Source organism: Homo sapiens, chromosome 11 (genome assembly GCF_000001405.40).
Source record: "Homo sapiens chromosome 11, GRCh38.p14 Primary Assembly".
Taxonomy (NCBI): Eukaryota; Metazoa; Chordata; class Mammalia; order Primates; family Hominidae; genus Homo; species Homo sapiens.
Window position 1 is genome coordinate 1,508,503 of NC_000011.10, and position 21,231 is coordinate 1,529,733.

The following is a 21,231-nucleotide window of genomic DNA, read 5'->3' on the forward strand; positions in this document are numbered from 1 at the left end:
CCGAGATATGCATGGAGGTGACTGGTGCCCTGCCCTCCCCCTCACAGCCCTCAGCAAAGCCACCCGCCATAGGCCTGCGGGAGAACGGGCACTCCTGATGTGCACGCAGGCAGCTCTGGGTGGGCAGGGCAGCTTCCTGGGCACACACCAGCTACACTGCAAAGGGTGTGGTCAAACGTCACTGCACAGACCCCCTTGAGGTGACAGTTCGAACAAACACCATCCTCCCTGTCCTGCTGTGGACGCTGGTGTGGGGTGCGCCTGGGACAGGGCTCTGGCCCGAGGTGTCTGGTAAAGCGGGTAACAGGGTGGACTCCAGAAGGCTGGGAGGAAGGCAACTGAAGACCCGGAAGCCCACTCCCAGGGGAAAAGGACACCGGGCGGGCAGGGGCTGCTCCTGCAGGGGCACATTCCCCTCTAATAGGAAACGCTGTTTTTGTCTGTGAAACTGGAGAAAATGCGTCACATGCGGGAGAACCCCACATTCCAAGGCAAGAGGAGAAACTACAGCGGGAGGCGCCACGGCCCACACTTCAGATTCCTCAAGTGGGGTCCGTGGCTGAGGCTGCGCAGGGAGGAGACACAGCACAGGGTGCCCTTGGGAGCAGAGGGGTGCCAACAGCTGTCCCCACACAGGGCGAGGCCTGGCCTGGCAGCCTGGTCCCTCATGCACAGTGAGTTCCACGCAGCCTCTGCACTGGCCACCCAGCCAACCCTGACCCAGCCTCGGGCCTCAGCCAGAGAATCCTCCTCAAACCCAAGTCACCAGGGCCTGCCTCTCCCTCTCAGGGTCATGCACGTGCCCCCTGAGGCCAGCCTTACCCCGGAGTCCTCAGCCCCAGGAGCCTCCAGACTGTTCCTCCCACCCCCAACATCATTACTGCCAGCCTTTGCCCAATGTCATCTAGGAGACCCCAGCTTCCACCTCAACCAGAGATGCCATCCGCTCTGTGTCCTGCTGGGTCCTAACAGTCCAACAGGAGCGGAAGCAGGAGTGCAGCAGTGATTTTCTGCTCTGTCCTGGGAGCTGAGAACAGGGGCAGTGCTGGCAGCTGGAACCTGAAAGCGTTTGAGTGAGTGAGCTGCTCATATACAAATAAGAATGTGTGCAAACCAATAAGAACAAAATGACCATCACCCCTCCCCAAAAAAAGGGGCAAAGAAAAAACCATTCACAGGCAGAAAATAACTACAAATGGTTAATAAACATAAGAAGATCAACTTGCCTAATTTAGAAGCAACTGAAGACAAGACCTTCCAATGACAGCCAGTGCCAGGCACCCCCAGCCGAGAAGCTCCTCAGAACATTGAGAATGTAAAATGGGAATTTATCTCAAGTATTCAAACTCGGAATGACTATGAATAATAAACCTGAATGAAGCATTGCTCATAAAAGAAAATGCTGGAAACTGCCTAACACTCGCAGGGTCTCCTTAGCAAGTCCTGCTATGCAGTCATCAAAGAGGGAGAAGAGCCCAGTGGGCAGGGACCTGGAGGTCAGCGCCAGGGCTGCGAGGCACCCGGGAGGTGAGAGCCAGGGCTGCGGGGGGGACCCGGGAGGTCAGAGCCAGGGCTGCGGCGGGGACCCGGGAGGTCAGAGCCAGGGCTGCGGGGGGGACCCGGGAGGTCAGAGCCAGGGCTGCGGGGGGGACCCGGGAGGTCAGAGCCAGGGCTGCGGGGGGGACCCGGGAGGTCAGAGCCAGGGCTGCGGGGGACCCGGGAGGTCAGAGCCAGGGCTGCAGGGGGACCCGGGAGGTCAGAGCCAGGGCTGCGGGGGGGACCCGGGAGGTCAGAGCCAGGGCTGCGGGGGGGACCCGGGAGGTCAGAGCCAGGGCTGCGGGGGACCCGGGAGGTCAGAGCCAGGGCTGCGGGGGACCCGGGAGGTCAGAGCCAGGGCTGCGGGGGACCCGGGAGGTCAGAGCCAGGGCTGCGGGGGACCCGGGAGGTCAGAGCCAGGGCTGTGGGGGGACCCGGGAGGTGAGAGCCAGGGCTGCGGGGGGACCCGGGAGGTGAGAGCCAGGGCTGCGGGGGGACCCGGGAGGTGAGAGCCAGGGCTGCGGGGGACCCGGGAGGTGAGAGCCAGGCTTGCCGGGGGACCCGGGAGGTCAGAGCCAGGCTTGCCGGGGGACCCGGAAGGTCAGAGCCAGGCTTGCTGGGGGACAGCTGGAAGGTACACACCTCCAGAGCTTTAGGGGTAAGCCTGTGTATTTTACTTTCTTTATATTTCTCCGAATTGTTGGAATTTTCCATGTTAAAATACATCATCACCACAATCAGAAGAAAAAAAAAATTTAATTTTGGGAAAAGTGAAAAGACCTCCAAAGAAAATGCCCAGAGGAGGCATTTTATTCTAGTTTCCAAATTTTCACTAATCTTCCTTTTATAATTGAAAAAAAAAAGTGCACTATCTACATTCTAACAGATTTTTGAGAAGTACATACAGGAAAACATTTCACAGTTTCCTAAAAACTTAAACACACACTCGATGATGCCTGCCTCACTACGCGCCTGGAGGCTTGTCTGCGAGGAATCAAAGGAATCTGGTAGTGATGGCTGAAAACTGGGTCCCAGATGCTCACTGCTGGGGAACAGGGACATCAGTCACCGAATCTGCACTAAGCTCCAAGAGGACCAACTGCCACACGCAGTGTGCTGACTCACCAGAGTGGGAAAACCACGCAGAAGATAGCGGGGCCACAGGGAGCATCCACCCCACATTCTAGAATGGAGAGAGCCACACAGAAGACAGCGGGGCCATGGGGAGCATCCGCCCCACATTCTAGAACAGGCAAAACCTCCAGCAGGACGAGGAGCTTTCCTGAGGATGGCACAGGCTGCAGGCACTGCCCACACAGACCTGTAGGTTCACCAAAACTTGCTGAATTGCATGCCTGAAATCACAGAATTCTGCCGTATGTAAACAACACCTTCAACACAGCTGCTTCCAGGTGTGGTAGCTCACGTCTGAAATCCCAGCACTTTAGGAGGCTGAGGCAGGAGGATCTCTTGAGCCTAGGTCAAGACCAGCCAAGGCAACACAGTGAGACCCCATCTCCACAAAAAAAATAAAAATTAGCCAGGCATGGTGGCGTGCACCTGTGGTCCCAGCTACTCAGGAGGCTGAGGCTCCTGGGATGTTTCTATCACTGGGAATCGTGACTTTTCACACTGCAGGGGATGAGCCTGGTGTGTCACCGGCCTTGCCTCCTGGGGCTGTCTGAAGCTGCTGGGCTTCTGGATGTGGCCCCCCCGTGGGTGTGCAAAATCCTGTATCATAAAAAAAACCAGCTGCTCACACGCACACTTCTCCAATTCAAGCAGAAGCTGCTGAAGCACAAACAAGGTGATGGCTGTGGAGATGGGCTGGGGGGCTGGGCGGCCACCCCCATCAGGTGGGCTCCTAGGTGGTTGGTACCACGGCCGGGACAACTCACTCCATCATTAGAACTTTCTTCAGGATGGAACACAGGGCTAGGGTTGAATTTTCCTCCGTTTTAAGAAGTAAACTAGTTTTCCCTCAAAGGGAAATGGTTTCCCCTCAAACTGTCTTTAACAAGTAGACACTGCACGTAGAACAAGGAAGAATGAAAAGCATGGGCGGGTACCATGAACACATGTGTGTGTCAGGACTGCAGGCAACAGGCACCCCTCCGCCAGTCTCAGGTAAGGCGCCGTCACTCTAGTTGCTTACACTGAAGCCAGGTGCAGCCTGTTCAGAATGTGGAAGACCCAAGATGGGCTTGAGGCAAGACAGGTGGCAGAGGTGGCCCCCCAGCGAAACACAGCTGGGGAAGAGCCCTGGGCCTCCCCGGCAGACTCCAAGTGGTTCCTGACGACCAGGGGCAAAGTCTCATCTCTGACTCCCCACTGCTGGCACAGCCACACACGGTGGTCCTGCTGCCCACTGCCCACTCTCTCCGCATCCTTAGACCCTTCCTCTCTCCTCACATTCGACCTCCTCAGAACTTCCTGAAGTGGGTGCTTGGGAAGTAACTCTTTCAGAACTCACACATCAGAAAATATTTTCATTCTACTCTTACATCATTGACAGGTTAACTGATGCTGAAGTCTACTCTGGAAATCCTTTTCTGACTGCATTTTGAAGACCATCTTCTACTTTCCAGGTTGGAATTCATATTCTGGTTCTCAGTACACTGTAGATAACCTGGTGCTACGCTCTGAATGTGTCCCCCAAAGGCATGTGCTGGAAACTGAACACCCAGTGCTGCAGCGCTAGGAGGTGGGGCCTGGTGGGGGGTGATTAGGGGTGGGGCTGGGAGGTGGGGCCTGGTGGGAGGTGATTAGGGGTGGGGCTGGGAGGTGGGGCCTGGTGGGCGGTGATTAGGGGTGGGGCTGGGAGGTGGGGCCTGGTGGGGGGTGATTAGGGGTGGGGCTGGGAGGTGGGGCCTGGTGGGCGGTGATTAGGGGTGGGGCTGGGAGGTGGGGCCTGGTGGGCGGTGATTAGGGGTGGGGCTGGGAGGTGGGGCCTGGTGGGGGGTGATTAGGGATGCGGGATGCTCTGCCCTAGGAATGGATTAATGTGATTCTGAAAGGGCTTGGGGCTGTGAGTTCCACCTCTTGCCCTTCCACCTCTCCCCACGAGGTGACACTGCACAAAGGCTCTTGCCAGACATGGGACCCTCCATCTTGGAATTCCAAACCTCCAAACTGTAAGAAATAAACCTCTGTTCTCTGTAAACCACTCAGTCTCAGGTATTGTTTCAGCGGCACAAACAGACGAAGGGGTTTTGTTTTGCTTTGTTCTTCTCTCTGGAAGTTGTAAAAATATGCTCTTTATCCCTGGTGTCTTCTGGTGTCGCCTTTTCATTCACTGCATTGGACACTGTGTGAGCCCATTTCATCTGTGAATTCATTTCTGGACAACTGTGGCGTTCCTTTGGTGATTTCCTCCCTTCTGTTTCCTGCTCTTCCTGGAACTCCTACCAAGCTACAGTGACCCCTGCCTGATGCTCGGTTTCCGTACCTTTGTGCTCCTGGTGTCCATGCCTGATACCCGCCCTGCGCAGTCGGCCTGCTGGGAAGGGCGCGCAGCACCATCTCCCACACCTCACTGGCTGTCCGATCCTCCTCTCTCAGGCACTCTTTGCTGTGCACCGGACGCTCCTTTCTGTACAAGTCTGCTCTTGCTACGTGGTCTTTACAACTCTGAGGAGACCCACGAACGCTATGCTTTACTCTTTGGTTTGGGCTGGCTTCCTGCTTTTTCATCTGCTTTGGTCTATCTGGTGACCCCTGCCCCCTCACATCACATGTGGCAGGAGGCACTGCAAAGCTCACTGATGGCTCTAGGTGCACGGAGGGGGCTTCGCTGGGGGAGTCTGGCTGTATTCAACACCTTTCCAGCATCACAGGAAACGACTTACCAGATTGAAGGGACTCACCCAGCATCCACGTCATTGAATGCAGAGGCCACATCAGGGAACACACTGACATTTCAGAACACTAAGGGACATGGGTGGCCCCTCCTCCCCACTCCCAGTGCCCAAGGGTTTTTTCTCTTGGCTGAGGAGACTCCCATTCTCTGCTGGAGGGTGGACCTCAGCTGCTGGGGTCCTGAGGACCCGGTGTGGGAGGGGCAGAAGGGGACCTCCCTGGTGGATGTGGAAAGCTGTCAAGGCTTCATGTGCAGGATGATGCCCTCCACTACGCCTGGGTCTCAGCGGACAGTGCTATGATCCCACGTGCTCGGACTAATCCTCCAGACACAGATCAGACATGAATGGGGTGTCCAGCTGCTTCTAAACACACCTCCAGCCTCCAGACCAGCTCTGCTGTCTTCAGCTCCACCATCCAAGGGGCTCCCAGACTCCATGGGAGCCATCCACAGTTTCTCAGTGAAAACACTTCCCCTGCTGGTCAGATTTCAGCTTTCCTGAGTTTGCGTTCATTCCACCCGACCCTCAGCTTTCCAACTTCCAAAATGTGTCTGCTCTCGTCTCCTCTGCACTCTCTGCTCCTGCAGATTTCTGCCTCTCCGAAACTCCCTGGGCGCTTATCCAAGTGGGGTCGAGAAGCAGGGCCAGCACAGAGGCTCACTGGTGCTCATCAGCCAGAGCCCTGTCTCTCTGCTCTTCAGCATCCTAGTGGGACGGGAGCACCCAGGGAACACAAGTGCACCATGACGCGGAGCCCTTCATCACCGCAGGCCACGGCGCTTGTCCTTCCCAGAGGCCCCCAACCACAGCTGCTGAGCGACACCCACACCGCTTCTCTCTTCACACAGCGGACTGATGAGGAGTCCCGCCAAGCAGGAGCTCTGAGCCACAGCACAGAGTGTGCTGGCCCAAGTCCACGCCTGCATGCAAGCTCAGCCATGCGTCTAATGGCAATAACCGTGGAATGAGCTCGTGAGGTTCGGAGAGTCCCACCCCGACGGGGAGAGCCACAGGGAGCCCCAATCTCGGCAGTGACCGGCTCCAGGTCCCCACGTACCGTGAGAGTGGGGACAGCGGTGGACAGCAGCCCTTGAGCAGGGCACAACCTTCAGAGAGACCTCGACAAGTGAACACTTAAACCAAGGTCGACCCTGGGGGAAACGCAGACCTCCTCCCAGTGCCCCCTTCAGAAAAGGTACTCAAACACTGGCTCCCATCATGAGCTGGGCACGGAACCAGGCATGGGTACTACCTGCCTCCAGGGCTTGGAGCTCGGGAGGGGAACCAATCCCGGGCCCTCGACCTGGGAGGTGCCAGAAGGCCCTCACACAAGACTCCAGCACTAGGGTGGGGAGGTTAAAGTAAACAGGACAGAGGGGTTCAACTAAGACAATACCTTTGCTCACGGTCAGAGGCGAAGGCACTGATGCCAGCCGGCGCCGACTCAGGTGAGCACACAAGCTCTCCCGCCGCGGCTGCACCACATGCCTGATAAAGGGACAGCCCTGGATGTCTAGTTCCTCAGGCACGTGTGCACACATGTGTGCTGCGTAGCACTGGCACCCCATTCCTGTTCTGCCCCAGGTAGCTGGTGCATTCCCCGGTGCTCACCGGCTCGACCCCCCAGCAACACGAGAGACCTCACAGAGGGAGTCACACTAACGTGGTCGGGGCTCCAGAGCGAAACCCCAACCACTATGCTCACAGCCAGGACCGAGCAGGCTGGGCCAACGGCAGTCCCTGCCCAGCGCCCGGCTCCCTCCGAGTGGCCAGCAGCGCCCTCTGGTGGAGACTGGCTCGGCCTCCGCGGCACTGCATTCCCACGGCAGTGGTCCATCTAGTCCCCAAGTCCTAGAGGAGGCCCCTCTCTCTCCCTCAGCCCTGGCAGGGTCCTTGGCGCCCATTCTCCACACCTGCACTCCTTGGCCCTCCAGGAATTACCGGCCTCAGGGGCGCTCCTGGAAGCAGAGAAGGGGATCTGCCTGGACCTTCCTCAGAGGCACAGCCTTCACAGAGGCACGAGGGGCTTTGGAGCAGAGGAGGCTGCCACTTATCAGCCAGACGGCCTGGGCTCAATTCCCAGCTGCAGGGCCCTGGCCAGTGACATCACCTCTCTGCATTTTCCCACCTATAAAATGGGAATGCTGACCTCCAGCATGTCCTGAGCAGGTAGAAGATTGTGGCCCTCCCCGGGGAATCCAACACCAGCCCCTGGACACCCCTGGATGCTCCTGGGCATGGCAAGACCAGCAAAGTCACCTCCCAGCTGCCCAAAAGGAGTGTCCACACCAACAGGGGCAGCAGTGACCCGAGTGCTTCTGAACACACCATTTGGGCAATCATCTTCAAAATTAACAGAACCAAGGTGACGAGAAAAAAGGCACTTCTATGGCAAGCTCTGCTCCGAGTGGCCATGAAGAAGCTGAATCTTCTAGCTGTGCAAACAGAAGGTGCCAAGTACTGGCTGCTTTCTAGGTCTCTCTAGGTCTGACTGTCATCCCCCTCCTATCAGCCCCAGGGCAGTACCCAAAACACCCACTGCTCAGCGGTGGCCACATGAATCAGAAGCACGGCATCCTGAGGCCATGGTAAGCAAATCACAGGAGACGGCTGGTAATGAGGACACGAAATATGCTCGGCCTCACCAATAAACAGAGCAGCCTGATGCATGTGAAACCACATGCCGCTGATGGAGTGGGGGGCAGGGAAAGACTGGCACCCGCCCTGTAGGGGAAGGGGACAGTTAGACAGTGGTGAAACCTCCACATGCCACTGATGGAGCGGGGGGCAGGGAAAGAGTGGCACCTGCCCTGTAGGGGAAGGGGACACTTAGACAGTGGTGAAACCTATCAGGCCAGAGGGGGAACGGGTGCCCGTTCTTAGACACAAGCAAGGGAGAGACGAGCCAGTGCGGGCCCTGCTGCTTGAGCACTGCACGGTGGGGTGGAGTGGACCGCCACAAACAGGCAGAAAGGAGAGAGAAATCGGAGTCCAGTCCTGTTTGCAGCAGGGCTGCGTTCAAATGCAGAGCCTGCAGGGGATGCCGTTAGGCAGGATCCAGAACAGAGGAGGAACCCATTTTTGTTTCAGACAAAGAAAGGAAGACAGGCATGTCCCGGTCTAGCACACAGGCCCCTGTGGGGAGGGATGGAGGCTTCAGTGCTACTTTTCACCACTGTAAGGTGAAGCATGTGACTTTACTTTTATAGTCTCTCTTCCAACGATGAAGAAAAACATTACATAAACCAAAAAATAAAACACAGAGCCACAACAAGCCCCCCCAGGACAGTTGGGCCAGTGCCCAGCCTCTGTGGCCCCCGTTCCAGGACGACCCCAGGCTCACTGGAGAGGATGCAAAGGGCAGAGAGTGCCCAGGGGCCAGGCTGCCCGGCCCCACCTCCCCGGCCAGCAGCACTCTCCGGCCCTCCAGAGCCACAATGGGTACACGCTACCCTCATGTGCCGGCTCCACCCCCTCACCTTCTGGGGGTTCAACCCCCTGCCTCTCCTTCTCCACCACCCTCCGCCATGCCACAAACAGCTCTGGCTGAGGCCACCCTCAGCTGGCCGTGTCCTCAATTCCCATCCCTGTAACACAGGGCAGGCACCTGTGGAGGCTGATCATGGCCTCCCCTGCAGCCACCCGTCACAGCTCCTTCCAGCTCCTTCTCTCTCGCACCAGCTCTTCCTGTTGTCACCGCTACCCCCACCTCTGGCTCCCCCAGGCAGCACGCTCAGGGTATACCAGACAGCTCACCTCCAGTTCACTGTGTCCAGAGATGTCTGACACAGGTACCGTGTCTGCCTCTGAGAGGCGCCCCCAACGCCTGCCATCTCTCCACAGACGATGCCCCACCACAACTGCTCAGGGACTCCCGGCCGCCATCTCCACCACCTCCCTCCCCAGAGTGAGGCTTGTCAATTCCCTCCGTTATCGGCCAGAGCACCCTGGAAGGGGGTCGAGCACAGCTGGGCCAGACGCAACTCCCACCTCTCAGTTCTTCAGGCAGGCTCCTATCACTTTGTCCCTCCATTTTGCCACCTACATAACAGGGTCACGGTAAGCGCCCTGCAGGGTGTGGCGGTGAGCAGGGGGACAGTCGGAACTCCAGGGCTGGTCACGGCAGCACCTGTGCCAGCACTGTGCCCACTGTGACTCTGCCTGATGTCACAGCTATAGGCCTAACTAGCCACATAACCACAGAGAAAGGAGGTGGCTGAGAAACAAGGGTCTGGGGACAGTAGGAAGATGCTGCCTGCTCTGACAGACACCCCCCACCCCACCCGCTGCCCCGATGGAGCCCACTTGGCCATATTTGACAACCCCAGACAGGATGCAGAGGGACACTGCCCTCCATGACTCACCTCAAAGAGCTCACTTGGAAGGGGAAAGGAAGGGCCATGAAAGGGTGAAACGCAATGGCTTCTCCCTCCCGTCCTACTGTGTGTCCGCAGCGGTTACTCCGCAGAGCCGCCAGGTACAACAGTCAAGACATGGGAAAACCTCAACGCCCAATGATGGATCAAGGGATGGGGAAAGTGTGGTGCACACGCTCCGTGGTGACCCCCGCGAGACTGGCCTGCGCACAGGGACGGCTTCACGCGTGTGACAGCAGGGGAGCAGGACCTCCGGGCCAGACAAGCCTGCGGGGAGCTGGGCCCCCGTGGTCCCTGGAGCCGCCTGCCTAGGGCTCGTCTGCACAGCCAGCCGGGCCACCCTTTGTCTCTGCAGCAATGGTTCCGGGTAGAACCCAAGAACGTGCATTTCTAACAAGGTCCCAAGCAACCCACTGTTAAGTTTCACCTACAGCTGCCTCCTTACATATTTTAAGTTCCACCTAAAGGTTTCTTTGTACATCGTGAACTATGACAAGTACAGGTGTAAACAGATCATAGCCTATACTTGTGCCAATCACCAAGTTTTGGCCAATCATATGTAGGTAACTGTTCGAGCTGTGTTCAAATAAGGCAAATGCCGAGCGTAACCAATCGGCTGTTTCTATGCCTTACTTCCGTTTTCCGTAGGTCACTTTCCCTTTCCATAAATCTTCCCCCACAGGGCTGCTCTGGAGTCTATGAGCCTACTCTGGCTCAAGAGGCTGTCAATCCAAGAATCGTTTGTTGTTCAATTAAAGACCTTTACATTAAGTTTTTCTTTTATCACTGCCCTTGCTGGTGCCCACACCCCACCTGGGGAACCATTGCCCTACAGCGCCAGGCACACACCTGGCCTCTCTGCACCTCCATTCTGGGGCAGAGATGCAATGGGGACCAAGTGGGGCCGTGTGCACCCAGTTCTCAGCGGCACGGTGCCGGCACGCAGCAGACTCCCCTTGAGGGTGAGTGAGTGTAGCAGAGGGACTTCGATGCATGCTCTGCAGGGTCCTCCACACACCCCCAGCACACATCCATCCACTGGACACCTGCCCCAGGACTGCCCTGGGACTCCGAACCCAAGAACTCACTGCCCCTGCCTCCCAGGGAAGGCCAGCAAGTGAAGGAACGAAGGCCAGGATGGAAAGGAACAACAGATGTTTCCAGCAAATGCTACCATGGACAGAAACCCAGCATGCTACAGGGGAGCAGGAGGCTGGGGTGTGAATCTGGGTCATTTCTGGGCAGCCCCTGGCCACCCAGGCAGAAGCACAGGAAACAGACTGCGGTGCTGACCAGAGATGCAGGACACGGAACAGAGCGGTAAGCTTTACACCAGTGAGGACGGCGAGTGCTGGAAACCCGGAGGCATTCTAGTTGTCATCACAAGGGGGGACACCAGGAGACCGTGTCCACAATAACACACAGTGGGCTTTATAAGAAGTTACCCCAAAATCAGGTGTTCAGGATAAGGCTGTGCTGGAAAAGGAAGCTCAGATGGAATCAAGAGTGTCCAGAAATCACCAGCTGCCTCACTTGACACAAGCTGTCTGCTCAACAGACTTTAGAATTCCCAACCTCATAATTAGTCAAAAGGGATTTTAATGCAACCATTCAGTAATATGAAATCAAGAACTATGACTGCAAAGGAGATTGAATGTTCCTTTTAAACAACGTAAAACTAAATACTATTGAATCAGTGGAGAAATGAAAAACAGAGTCTTGCTAATTTTCATTAATGGAGACTGCTTTAAGTCTTTCAGTTTATGACCAGCCTAGGCAAGACGGCAAGACTCTGCCTCTATAAAAAAATTTTTTTCAAAATTCGTGGGGCACGGTGGTGCGCACCTGTGGTCCCAGCTACTCAGGAGGCTGAGGCAGGAGGATCTGTTAAACCCAGGAGGTCAAGGCAGCAGTGAGCTGTGATTGCACCACCGCACTCCAGCCTGGTCTCTAAACAAAAAATAAAAACCAAAACAAAAAAACTATTTCGGTAAGAAATCTAGGCTGTAACAAGGCCATGTGGGGACTGCCCACTGTTTCTGCAGCTCACTCTGCGGGCCCGGGGTCAGATCCCCAGTTTCTCAGGGTCGTGTTCTGTTCCCTTTGCTCATCTCTCCTCCAGTCCCCAGGGAAGGGCTTGGTCTCCACGGCGTCAGGAACTAGACTGTGAACTTGCACGTCAATACTGAGAGTGGGGCTTCCAGAGAGCAGCCGTGCTTGCTGCCCTGCCCCTCTCAGGCTGCAGCCCAGGGAGATGCCACTGAGACGCTGGCCATCGGGCTGGCCACCCCCGGGCTCCCTCCATCCTCACGGTCCTGCTCTGTGCTGGCAGTTTCCACTGAAGTCCCCCTCCCAGTATGCAGCAAGCCTGATCTGCTATCACTCGCTCACACCATGCCTCCGTGTCTCCCCCACATCTCACATGAAGTAACTTCTGAGCCTGTTTCAAAGTTTATCCTGAACAGGGCGGGCAGTCTGGCCCCTTCACCATCTCTTTCTGTGTGGGTGCACCGAGGTGTCTCCCTGCAGAAGTGCATTCTATCCTATGCTGGGGTAAAGATGCAAGTCACTCTCAAACTGCTGAGAAAAGACCCACGTGCAGGTACTGAGAGAGAGAAAACGGCAAGGCAGATGTGGCAGAAACGCTGACACTGGCCAATCTGGGAGAAGGTATGCAGGAATTATTCACACTACTTTGGCAACTTCTAACTTTGAAATTATGTAAAAATTTAAAAATATAAACGTCAGAAGCAGCTGGGGCCAGGAGGTGGCAGATACCCTCGAGGGAGCAGCAGTGCATCTGACAGCCGCTTCTCCACAGCAACGCCGGAAGCCGGAGGTCGGCGGCCTCACGTCGAAAGAGGGCTGAAAGCAAGCCAACCAAGAACACGACACACAGCGAAAAGCTCTGCCAAGAATGAAGGACAACTGAAGGCATTTTCAGACAGAGACTGAGAGGGCGCCCCCAGCAGAGTCACCTGAAAGAAAATCCAAGAAAGCTCAAGGCTGCAGCACAAGCAGAGGAAAACTGGTCACAGACGCAAAAGGACAAACCCAGAAGGACAAAGGAGGAAGGAGAGGGTACAGCCAAAGAGATGGAGCACAAAACCAGCCAACCTAAATAAATACCAGCGTACAAGTAGCATGTGGGGGTCCGAAGTGTACAGAATTTAAAACACAGCAGTAGCATGTGGGGGTCCGAAGTGTACAGAATTTAAAACACAGCAAGTGCTCACAACTCAAGAGGGGAAGTACCCAGAAGCGGTCTAGTATCTTGGGTACTTCGGGGAGGCGGATAAAGCTGTTAATCAACATCAGACCCTGGAGGTTTAGCGTGTGCTGTAAGAAAACCACTAAAGGAGGGTGTGCACGGTGGCTCACAGTGTAATCCCAGCACTTTGGAAGGTGAAGGTGGGTGGATGGCTTGAGGCCAGGAGTCTGAGACCATCCTGGACAACACAGTGAGACCCTGCTTCTACAAAAAATCAAATAAAATAAAGTACCTAACTTCCAAGGCAATTTGAAAGAAGGATAATTAAAAAATAAAAAGAAGAAATTCAAACAAAGCATGGGAAGATGAAAAGCACAAGATGGGAGTTCCACACAGCAGCGAGCACACCAGGTGGAAAGGGTTAGCAAGGCGCCCTGACACCCGCTCTAGTGGCGCGGTGCTCACTAGACACCCGCTGTCACGTGCAGTGCGTCTAAGGCTTGGGGTTTTCCCGGGCTCACCCCAGGGGAGACGTGGTCAAGGGCTCTTTCCCAGGGCTCGGGGCCGTTTGCACGTCCTTCTTCATGAGGCATCTGTTCAAGCCTCTGCCCATCTTCTACGGGACGAGCTGTTTCTTGTTCTTTGTTGGAGCCCGTGGGGAAGTCTGGATCTGAGCTCCGGTAAGTTCTAGGTATGGTAAATTCCCCCTGCAAAAGTTGCTTTCTTTTTTTTTTGAAACAGAGTCCTGCTCTGTGGCCCAGGCTGGAGTACAGTGGTGAGATCATGGCTCACCGCAGCCCCGACCTCCTGGGCTCAAGGGATCCTCCCACCTCAGTCCCCCTGAGTAGCGGATGCCACCACGTCCAGTTAATTTATTTTTATTTATTTATTTATTTATGAGGTCTCACTATGTTGCCCAGCCTGGTCCTGAACTCCTGGGCTCAAGCAGTCCTCCAGCCTCGGCCCCTCAAAGTGCAGGGATTATAGGTGTGAGCCACGGTCCCCGGCCAGCCTTTTCAGTTTTTGAGGAATATCTTTGATAAACAGAGCTGCTTAATTTTAATGTAAACCAAATTATCTATCTTTTCCTTTATGATGAGTACTTTTTAGTCCTGTTTAAAAAAACTTTTCTTAACCCATGGGTCAAGAATAGCATCTTCTATAACAGTGCTGTTCAAGAGAAATATAACACAAGCCATAATCTGAGCCATGGATATAATTTTAAATGTTCTAATGGCCCCATTGAAAAGTAAAAGAAACAGCCAAGATTAATTTTATTTAACCCAACAGATGTAAAATATTTTCGACTTACAATCAATACAGAAAATACAAGGTGCCACTGTATTTTTTTCAGTCTAGCGTATTTTACACTCAGCACATCTCTAGCGCTGCCAAGCTACATGGCTGGAGGCCGTGCTGGACAGCAGTTCCAGAACCTTCTACACTTAGACCTACATTCTACTGGGCTCAATTATTCTTTGTAGGGTGTGAGGTACAGGCCAAGGTTTTTTTAAATATGGCTATCTGGTTGGCCAGCATGACTTATGAAAAAGACTGGCTATCTGTGCCATCTCTTTTTCCCTGTCTTGATCACTCTTGCCAGATTTTCCACTATATTCCTGTTTTCAAAGAATCCAACTCTGGCCTCGATGACTATATCTGTGGGAGACTGACTTTCTGCTTTGTTAACTTCTGCTCCAGCCTCATTTCCCTCCATCCACCGTCTCTGAGCCCAGCTACTGCTCCGAGAGTGACGAGTACCTGAGGGCTGTGAACCGCTCCTGGCCGGTGTGCACCCTGCAAGTCTCAGCATGGCATATTTTTGTTATCTTTCAGCTAAAAAGTATGTTGTAATTTCCATTACAAATTCTTCTTTGTCCCACTGGTTACTTGGAAGTGTGCTTCCTAATTTCTAAATACTAGGAGTATCACTTTGCTGATTTCTAGTTTAACTCCACTTGGGTCAAGAGCACACTCCAGAGGAATTCAATTCACCGAGATAAGCGGAGGTTTTGGTCAACGTTCCATCAGCGTGTAAAGGGGGCACACAGCCTGTCAGGGGTGGGTTCCCTATTCTTCCTGTCAGGTGAAATGTGTGAATCTGGCTTTGAAATCTTCATGCTGACTTGTGAGTACAGCTGAGCTGCTGGGACAAAGGCCCACCATCCCAGGCCCCAAGTCCTTCCCTGGTGTTAGCCCAGGGCAGGGGTCAAACTTCACCCTCCAACACCTTCCTGGGGCCCCAGCCATGGGGCAGCCCTGTTCTCACCAAGGGCTGTCGAGGAGCCGCAGGAAGGCAGGAAGAAGAGGAAGGACAAGCATCTTCCAGACGGTGACTAGAAAGCTCCACCTGCCCCCACCTATGTCTCAGTCCTGAAGCTCAGGACACAAGGGAGGCTGGAGTTCAAGTGCCTGAGAGCCCACAGCCAGAGAAGCTTGCACGGGGTCAGAAAGACAGACGGGAGTCAGCAGGTCACAGCCCTGTGCCCACAACAGGTGGCAGGAAAGAAGCTCAGAGACCTGACAACAGCCACAGCAAGGACATGTGTGCACACAGGCCAGGTGTCTCGGCAGAACTGCAGACACTGGAGGGCCAGCCAGGCTGAAGTGCACATGGGCCACACAGGGTGGGGCTGGAGAGAGACAGGGGACTTCACCCCACAGGCAATGGGGGTCCACCAAAGTGCCTTGTATATAGGAGGATGACATGTGGATCCTCTCAGGTGGCTGTGTGGAGCATGAGTCAAAGATAAGGACATACATCCCCGCCACCGCCAGGTGCCTATGGCTATAAGAGCCTAGGCCTCAGCCCAGGGAACTGCGGGCTTGCTTAGGGAATCCAGCAAAACCCTCACAGCCTTCTGGATGGAGCCCCATGGCATGGATGGCGAGGCGTGAGGGGAGGCAGGACGTGGCCTTCCTGAGCAGCAGGCTCGAGGCACGGGACACACAGGCCACCACCACAACTTCAGGCTCTGTAACAGGGACCTACCCACGCAAAAGGTCCTTATCTGAAAGGGCTCCATCCTCACCCTAGAGCCCTCCACACGTCATTTTGGGGGACATTTTATTTATTTTATTTTTTATTTTTTTGAGATGGAGTCTTGCTCTTGTCGCCCGGGCTGGAGTGCAGTGGCACATCTTGGCTCACTCCAACTTCTGCCTCCTCGGTTCAAGCAATTCTCTTTCCTCAGCCTCCCGAGTAGCTGGGATTACAGGCGCATGCCACCACGCCTGGCTAATTTTTTGTAATTTCAGTAGAGACGGGGTTTCATCATGTTGGCCAGGATGGTCTCAAACCCCTGACCTCAGGTGGATCCACCCATCTCGGCCTCCGAAATTGCAGGGATTACAGGTGTGAGCCACCGGGTCCCATTTCATTATTTTGATTAGAAATGAAATGACCTGCCCAGGCGCGGTGGCTCACGCCTATAATCCCAGCACTCTGGGAGGCTGAGGCGGGCGGATCACCTGAGCTGATCCCCAGCCTGCTGGGGAAGGGGAAGGAAGGTGGCCACAGGCCCCAGCATAGTACAGACTGACGCCCTTGAAGTCCACACTGCACCGTGGGCCCAGACAGAACAGGCCTCCCGCCCCGCCCTCACAGAGGTGCCTCGTGGACAGCCACTGCATGGCATAGCAAGTCCCTGGACCCAGGCCTGTCCAGACCCTCGTGGGAGTGGGATATGAGCTCCACAAACGTTTCGGGGGGCACCCAGGCCCCAAGTCCCTGTTCCACCACCAGGGCAGCTCAGGAGCCAGGACACTTAGCTAGTGAACCCTGGGACCTGCTGCACTCCGGGGGACACTGAAGAGCTCGGGAGCCGACAAACCACAAATGCTGCTACTTAGAACCTGTGTGTCCAACAAGGAGAAGACAGCAAAGGAGGGAAGACTGCTGGGCAGGAGAGCACCCGAGACACCACCACTCCTACCAAGAAGTCTCTGAGGACAACTGTGGGCCAGGATCCTGCGTCGTCAGCACAGAGCTGCCTTCGGTCTGCCTTGGAGTAAGGGCCTCGGAGAGGCACGGGGTCACAGAAAACAACACTTTTATTTTCACATGAATTATAAATACCCAGGAACCCTCACACAATTCAGCTTGGCCCAGCACTTCTTCAGCCAAAAAGGTAGGAGGCCTTCCCAGCAGGAATAACAGAATGTACTTGAAGATAAAGGTTTTAATGAAAAAGGGTTTCTAAACCTCCTGACAGTGGCCACCTCCAGAAAAGCCCCTGGGTCTCCACACTCACAGTGCAGGAGTGAATGTCAAAAAGCACTCCCAAGGCAGGGCACAGTGGCTCACGCCTGTGATCCCAGCACTGTGGGAGGCCAAGGTGGGCAGACTGCTTGAGGCCAGGAGTTCAAGACCAGCCTGGCCAACACAGTGAAAACCCATCTCTACTAAAAATAGAAAAATTTGGCCAGGCGCGGGTGTCTCACACCTGTAATCCCAGCACTTTGGGAGGCCAAGGCGGGCGGATCACCTGAGGTCAGGAGTTCGAGACCAGCCTGGCCAACATGGCGAAATCCTGTCTCCACTAAAAATACAAAAATTAGCTAGGTGTGGAGTACGCCTGTAATCCCAGCTACTAGGGAGGCTGAGACAGGAGAATCGCTTGAATTCGGGAGGCGGAGACTGCAGTGAGCCGAGATCGCGACACAGCACTCCAGCCTGGGCAACAAGAGCAAAACTCCATCCAAAAAAAAAAAAAATTACACTGGCCTGGTGGCATGTGCCTATAATCCCAGCTACTCAGCAGGCTGAGGCATGGGAATCGTTTGAACCTGGGAGGCAGGCGGAGGTTACAGTGAGCCATGATTATGCCACTGCACTCCAGCCTGGATGACAGAGCAAGACCCTGTCTCAGGGGAAAAAAAAAAAAGCATTCCCAAGACCCCAAGCACGAGAGGAAGCAAATCCCTTCTGTGCATCCCAACGCAGAGCTCATCTCAGAAAGCTCTGCGTCCAGGTGTCCAGGAGGCAGCCAGCTGGCCAGGCAGAGGCATACCCTGGGTGGTCAGACCCATCCAGCGCCTGCTCCCTGCCCTGGGCACGCCAGGTACAGCAGGGGTACGTGTGGGTCTGTGGAGAAGATGAAGCCTGCCCTGAAGCAGTATTTGTTACACATTTATGAAGGCAAGGAGGACACAGGAAACTGTTCAGCAGAAAACGCTGCTGTCACGAAGGGAGAGATAGCCAGCTTTGGGAAATGAAGGTGCCCACTCTGCCCTCAAGGAAGCAGCAAGCCTCAACTGCACACCCGCCACACAGCTACCCACCAGCCCCAGGCAGTCTCAGGCCACACATCCCAGAGGCCCCGTGGCATGAAAAGAGGATCTCTGAGGGCATAATACCCGACTCCCCGGTGGGGAGTAAAATCACCTCTGGAGCACAGCCGGGCAGACACCAGGCCTGCACCCCCGTCGGCACTGGGGGTGGTGCCTGTGGACCATCGGCGGCTTTAAATTCTCTTGGCTGCTCCCGTTCCACCATCCCCTCTGACAGCTAAGAACAGGCTGAGGGCGGGCAACGGGAGTAGGAATTGGGTGGGAACAGCGGGTGGCAGCGGCCGGGCAGTGGCAACTACAGGTCACACAGTCAACCACGGTTCCCTTGCTCAGAGCCTGTAACTACTGCCATCCACTGAGCTTCCAAGAGGGCCTCAGACTTTACCTGGGGCTTCCTGAATTCACCTGGTTGTCTGGGAGGACTAGTGTTTCTTGAGAGACGGTGAGAAACATGGCCCTAAGCCCTCTGCGTGGCCCCGTGCCCACTGCCGTCTCCATGCTCTGAGGAGCCTCAGTGACTAAACGTGGTCCCAACCTGTACCAGGCCATACCAAAGTCCTGAACAGGTCAGTGGTGTCAGGTGCCAGCGTGGCCTGGATTTCTTCCTGACAGAGGAACTAACCAGCGCACAGCTCCAGCCACTCAGAAAGGAGGCAGGTGGGAGGCTGTAAAAGAAAGTAAGGGACAGGCCTGGCATGGTGGCTCACGCCTATAATCCCAGCACTTTGGGAGGCCGAGGCGGGTGGATCACGAGGTCAGGAGTTCAAGACCAGCCTGACCAACCTGGTGAAATCCCGTCTCTACTAAAAATACAAAAAGAAAAAAAAAAAAAAAGCCAGTTGTGGTGGCGGGCGCCTGTAATCCCAGCTACTGGGGAGGCTGAGGCAGGAGCCAGGAGGCAGAGGTTGCAGTGAGCTGAGATCGCACCACTGCACTCCAGCCTGGGCAACAGAGTGAGACTCCGTCTCAAAAAAAAAAATAAAATAAAATAAAAAATAAAAAGTAAGGGATGGTGAAAAGAAGAGCATCCCTCAGGCGCCAGCCAAGGGCAGGAGCGGGCCCAGGGCCAGCAGGTGCCCAAGGCTTCCTGGCACTCGCCCTCCCAGGCTGCCCCCTGGCCCCCAGCTCCCCCGGCCCCCGGCTCTCCCTGGCCCTCTGGGCTGGCTCGCAGTGTACCTGTCCTCTGCCCCTCTGCAGGCCAGGGGAGTCGTGGAGACACTGCCTCGGGCTCCAGCACTTCCCATCGTTTCCGCCTGGGCTTTTACTTTTCTCTTTAAGAACAAGCTCTAAAATCTTAACACTCAAGATTAATACCCTTAAAGAGAACCCATGCCAGTCATAAGAAAACTGGACCAGTTCAAGACAAAGTAGGCAAAGACCAAGCAGATAATGGCATGGCCCACCGTGCATAGAAGCATCGGCCATATCAGCCCTCCTGCAGTAAACACGGACTAAACCTTGGCACCGCTCTCTGCCTGTCAACGTGGCAAAGATCTTCTTCAGAAAAGACCAACACAAGTGGCGGGCACCGACCTGTGGAAACACCAGCACTGGCACCACGCTCCCTTCCCAGGGACTTGGGAAGCATCACACAACCTGGGAACGTCCCCATTCCCACCGGCAGGGGAGCAGTGGACAACTCCCCTGGGTAGCAAGAGTCCCACTACAGAGTGAGGCTGGTTTTAATGTTAAGTACAGACTATCGCTGGGTGGTAGGAGGATTTGCTTTTGATTTTCTGGGTTTTTTTTCCTGTATTTTGTGTCTCTACAATGGACATGTAACACCAAGTCCCAGGTGAGCAGGGATGTGTCCTTCCTCCTAAGGTCCCCCCACCCCCGCAGGACAAGGCACATAGGACACCAGCAGGGTCCAATGGGTGCTGGGAAGATGAATGGCTGCTGAGCACAACAACCTGAGGCCAGGCCCTGCGGAGCCAGAGGCAGGTGCGGGTCAGCCCCACCCTCAGCACCACTCCTGGACTCCACCAGCCAGCGCTACCCACTGTTACAAAAGCATCAACCCAGAGGGAGCTGCGGTGACAGGGAAGGGTCCCGCTGTCCCTGCCCGCGGTTCCCTCTACCCACCCTGTGGGGCCAGAAACCCGGCTCAGTAAACCTCACCTCCCATGCACCTTTCCTTCCCTGTTGGAGACCACTGGGCCCATGCTGAGGTCCCGTTTGCTGAGTCAGAGAATGGCACTTGGGAAGCCCTGTGGGGTCTGTCTTGCTGAGTAGCCAAGGAACCCACCCAGGGCTGGTAAGACCACTGCCAGTGCAGAGAGACGTCTGGTGAAGGGGCGTGCAGTGCCTCCACAGAGAAGCCTGACCAAACACGAGAAAGGACAAAAGCCCACAAACAGCGGCTTCTGAAAACACCGCGGACACAGCCACACAGGAGCAGCTTATCTGCTCGTAGCCTGTTTTATACGATTTCTGCCATTTTTGCTAGGGCCAGCTTGCTGCTTGGTAAGTCCCAGGCAGTGTGGCTCGGTGGGTTCCGGGGTGTGCTCCCCATACCTCCCAAGACAGTCCAGGCCAGCACTGAGTACCGACACCCCCTCAGACCGGCGACTAGGGCTCAGGAACTCTTCCTAAACGAGGGGCTGCCTGAGCAGCCTCTCCCTAGAGGCGTCTCCCGGGCCACACTGAAGCCCTGTCACAGTGACACTGGACTGAATCAAGCTGAAAGCTTGGGTGAAGCCACAGAACACGTTGGGCCATGGCCTGCACAGGCCGACGCTCACCTGAGCGGGCACCATGAAAGCTCAGCAATGGAAACGCGGGCTGTCCAGTGTTGGCTCTGCCTCGGCAGCCCTCGGTGGTACCCGGAGACAGCACCTGCCCCACCTGCACAACCCCATGGCCCACAGTAGTGCCGGGCTGCACGCCCTGGGAGGAAAACTAAATGGCAGGAAGAGGAAGGTAGCCCGTGAGGAGGGCCGAGCCCTGCCCAGAA

General features: G+C 55.5%; 1 long non-coding RNA gene across 1 annotated transcript, besides 8 other annotated features; it reads left to right on the plus strand.

Moving 5' to 3' along the window:
* Positions 263–1,094: an enhancer, noted in NCBI's record as "H3K27ac-H3K4me1 hESC enhancer chr11:1529995-1530826 (GRCh37/hg19 assembly coordinates)". NCBI's record gives its function as "activates a minimal SCP1, AML or CMV promoter by ChIP-STARR-seq in naive H9 embryonic stem cells {active_cell/tissue: H9 hESC(naive)}" and the evidence as "EXISTENCE:reporter gene assay evidence [ECO:0000049][PMID:30033119]".
* On the plus strand, positions 3,257–4,141 carry LOC124902607 (uncharacterized). The gene is made up of 3 exons (XR_007062546.1): positions 3,257–3,343; positions 3,561–3,663; positions 4,052–4,141. It is a non-coding gene; the product is annotated as an uncharacterized LOC124902607 (long non-coding RNA).
* Positions 4,561–5,062: an enhancer, noted in NCBI's record as "H3K27ac hESC enhancer chr11:1534293-1534794 (GRCh37/hg19 assembly coordinates)". NCBI's record gives its function as "activates a minimal SCP1, AML or CMV promoter by ChIP-STARR-seq in primed H9 embryonic stem cells {active_cell/tissue: H9 hESC(primed)}" and the evidence as "EXISTENCE:reporter gene assay evidence [ECO:0000049][PMID:30033119]".
* Positions 5,063–5,562: an enhancer, noted in NCBI's record as "H3K27ac hESC enhancer chr11:1534795-1535294 (GRCh37/hg19 assembly coordinates)". NCBI's record gives its function as "activates a minimal SCP1, AML or CMV promoter by ChIP-STARR-seq in naive and primed H9 embryonic stem cells {active_cell/tissue: H9 hESC(naive and primed)}" and the evidence as "EXISTENCE:reporter gene assay evidence [ECO:0000049][PMID:30033119]".
* Positions 7,064–7,253: a silencer, noted in NCBI's record as "silent region_3056". NCBI's record gives its function as "represses an Ori minimal core promoter by ATAC-STARR-seq in GM12878 lymphoblastoid cells {active_cell/tissue: GM12878}" and the evidence as "EXISTENCE:reporter gene assay evidence [ECO:0000049][PMID:35858748]".
* Positions 11,518–12,018: an enhancer, noted in NCBI's record as "H3K4me1 hESC enhancer chr11:1541250-1541750 (GRCh37/hg19 assembly coordinates)". NCBI's record gives its function as "activates a minimal SCP1, AML or CMV promoter by ChIP-STARR-seq in primed H9 embryonic stem cells {active_cell/tissue: H9 hESC(primed)}" and the evidence as "EXISTENCE:reporter gene assay evidence [ECO:0000049][PMID:30033119]".
* Positions 12,019–12,519: an enhancer, noted in NCBI's record as "H3K4me1 hESC enhancer chr11:1541751-1542251 (GRCh37/hg19 assembly coordinates)". NCBI's record gives its function as "activates a minimal SCP1, AML or CMV promoter by ChIP-STARR-seq in primed H9 embryonic stem cells {active_cell/tissue: H9 hESC(primed)}" and the evidence as "EXISTENCE:reporter gene assay evidence [ECO:0000049][PMID:30033119]".
* Positions 13,457–13,706: an enhancer, noted in NCBI's record as "active region_4289". NCBI's record gives its function as "activates an Ori minimal core promoter by ATAC-STARR-seq in GM12878 lymphoblastoid cells {active_cell/tissue: GM12878}" and the evidence as "EXISTENCE:reporter gene assay evidence [ECO:0000049][PMID:35858748]".
* Positions 17,855–18,354: an enhancer, noted in NCBI's record as "H3K27ac hESC enhancer chr11:1547587-1548086 (GRCh37/hg19 assembly coordinates)". NCBI's record gives its function as "activates a minimal SCP1, AML or CMV promoter by ChIP-STARR-seq in naive H9 embryonic stem cells {active_cell/tissue: H9 hESC(naive)}" and the evidence as "EXISTENCE:reporter gene assay evidence [ECO:0000049][PMID:30033119]".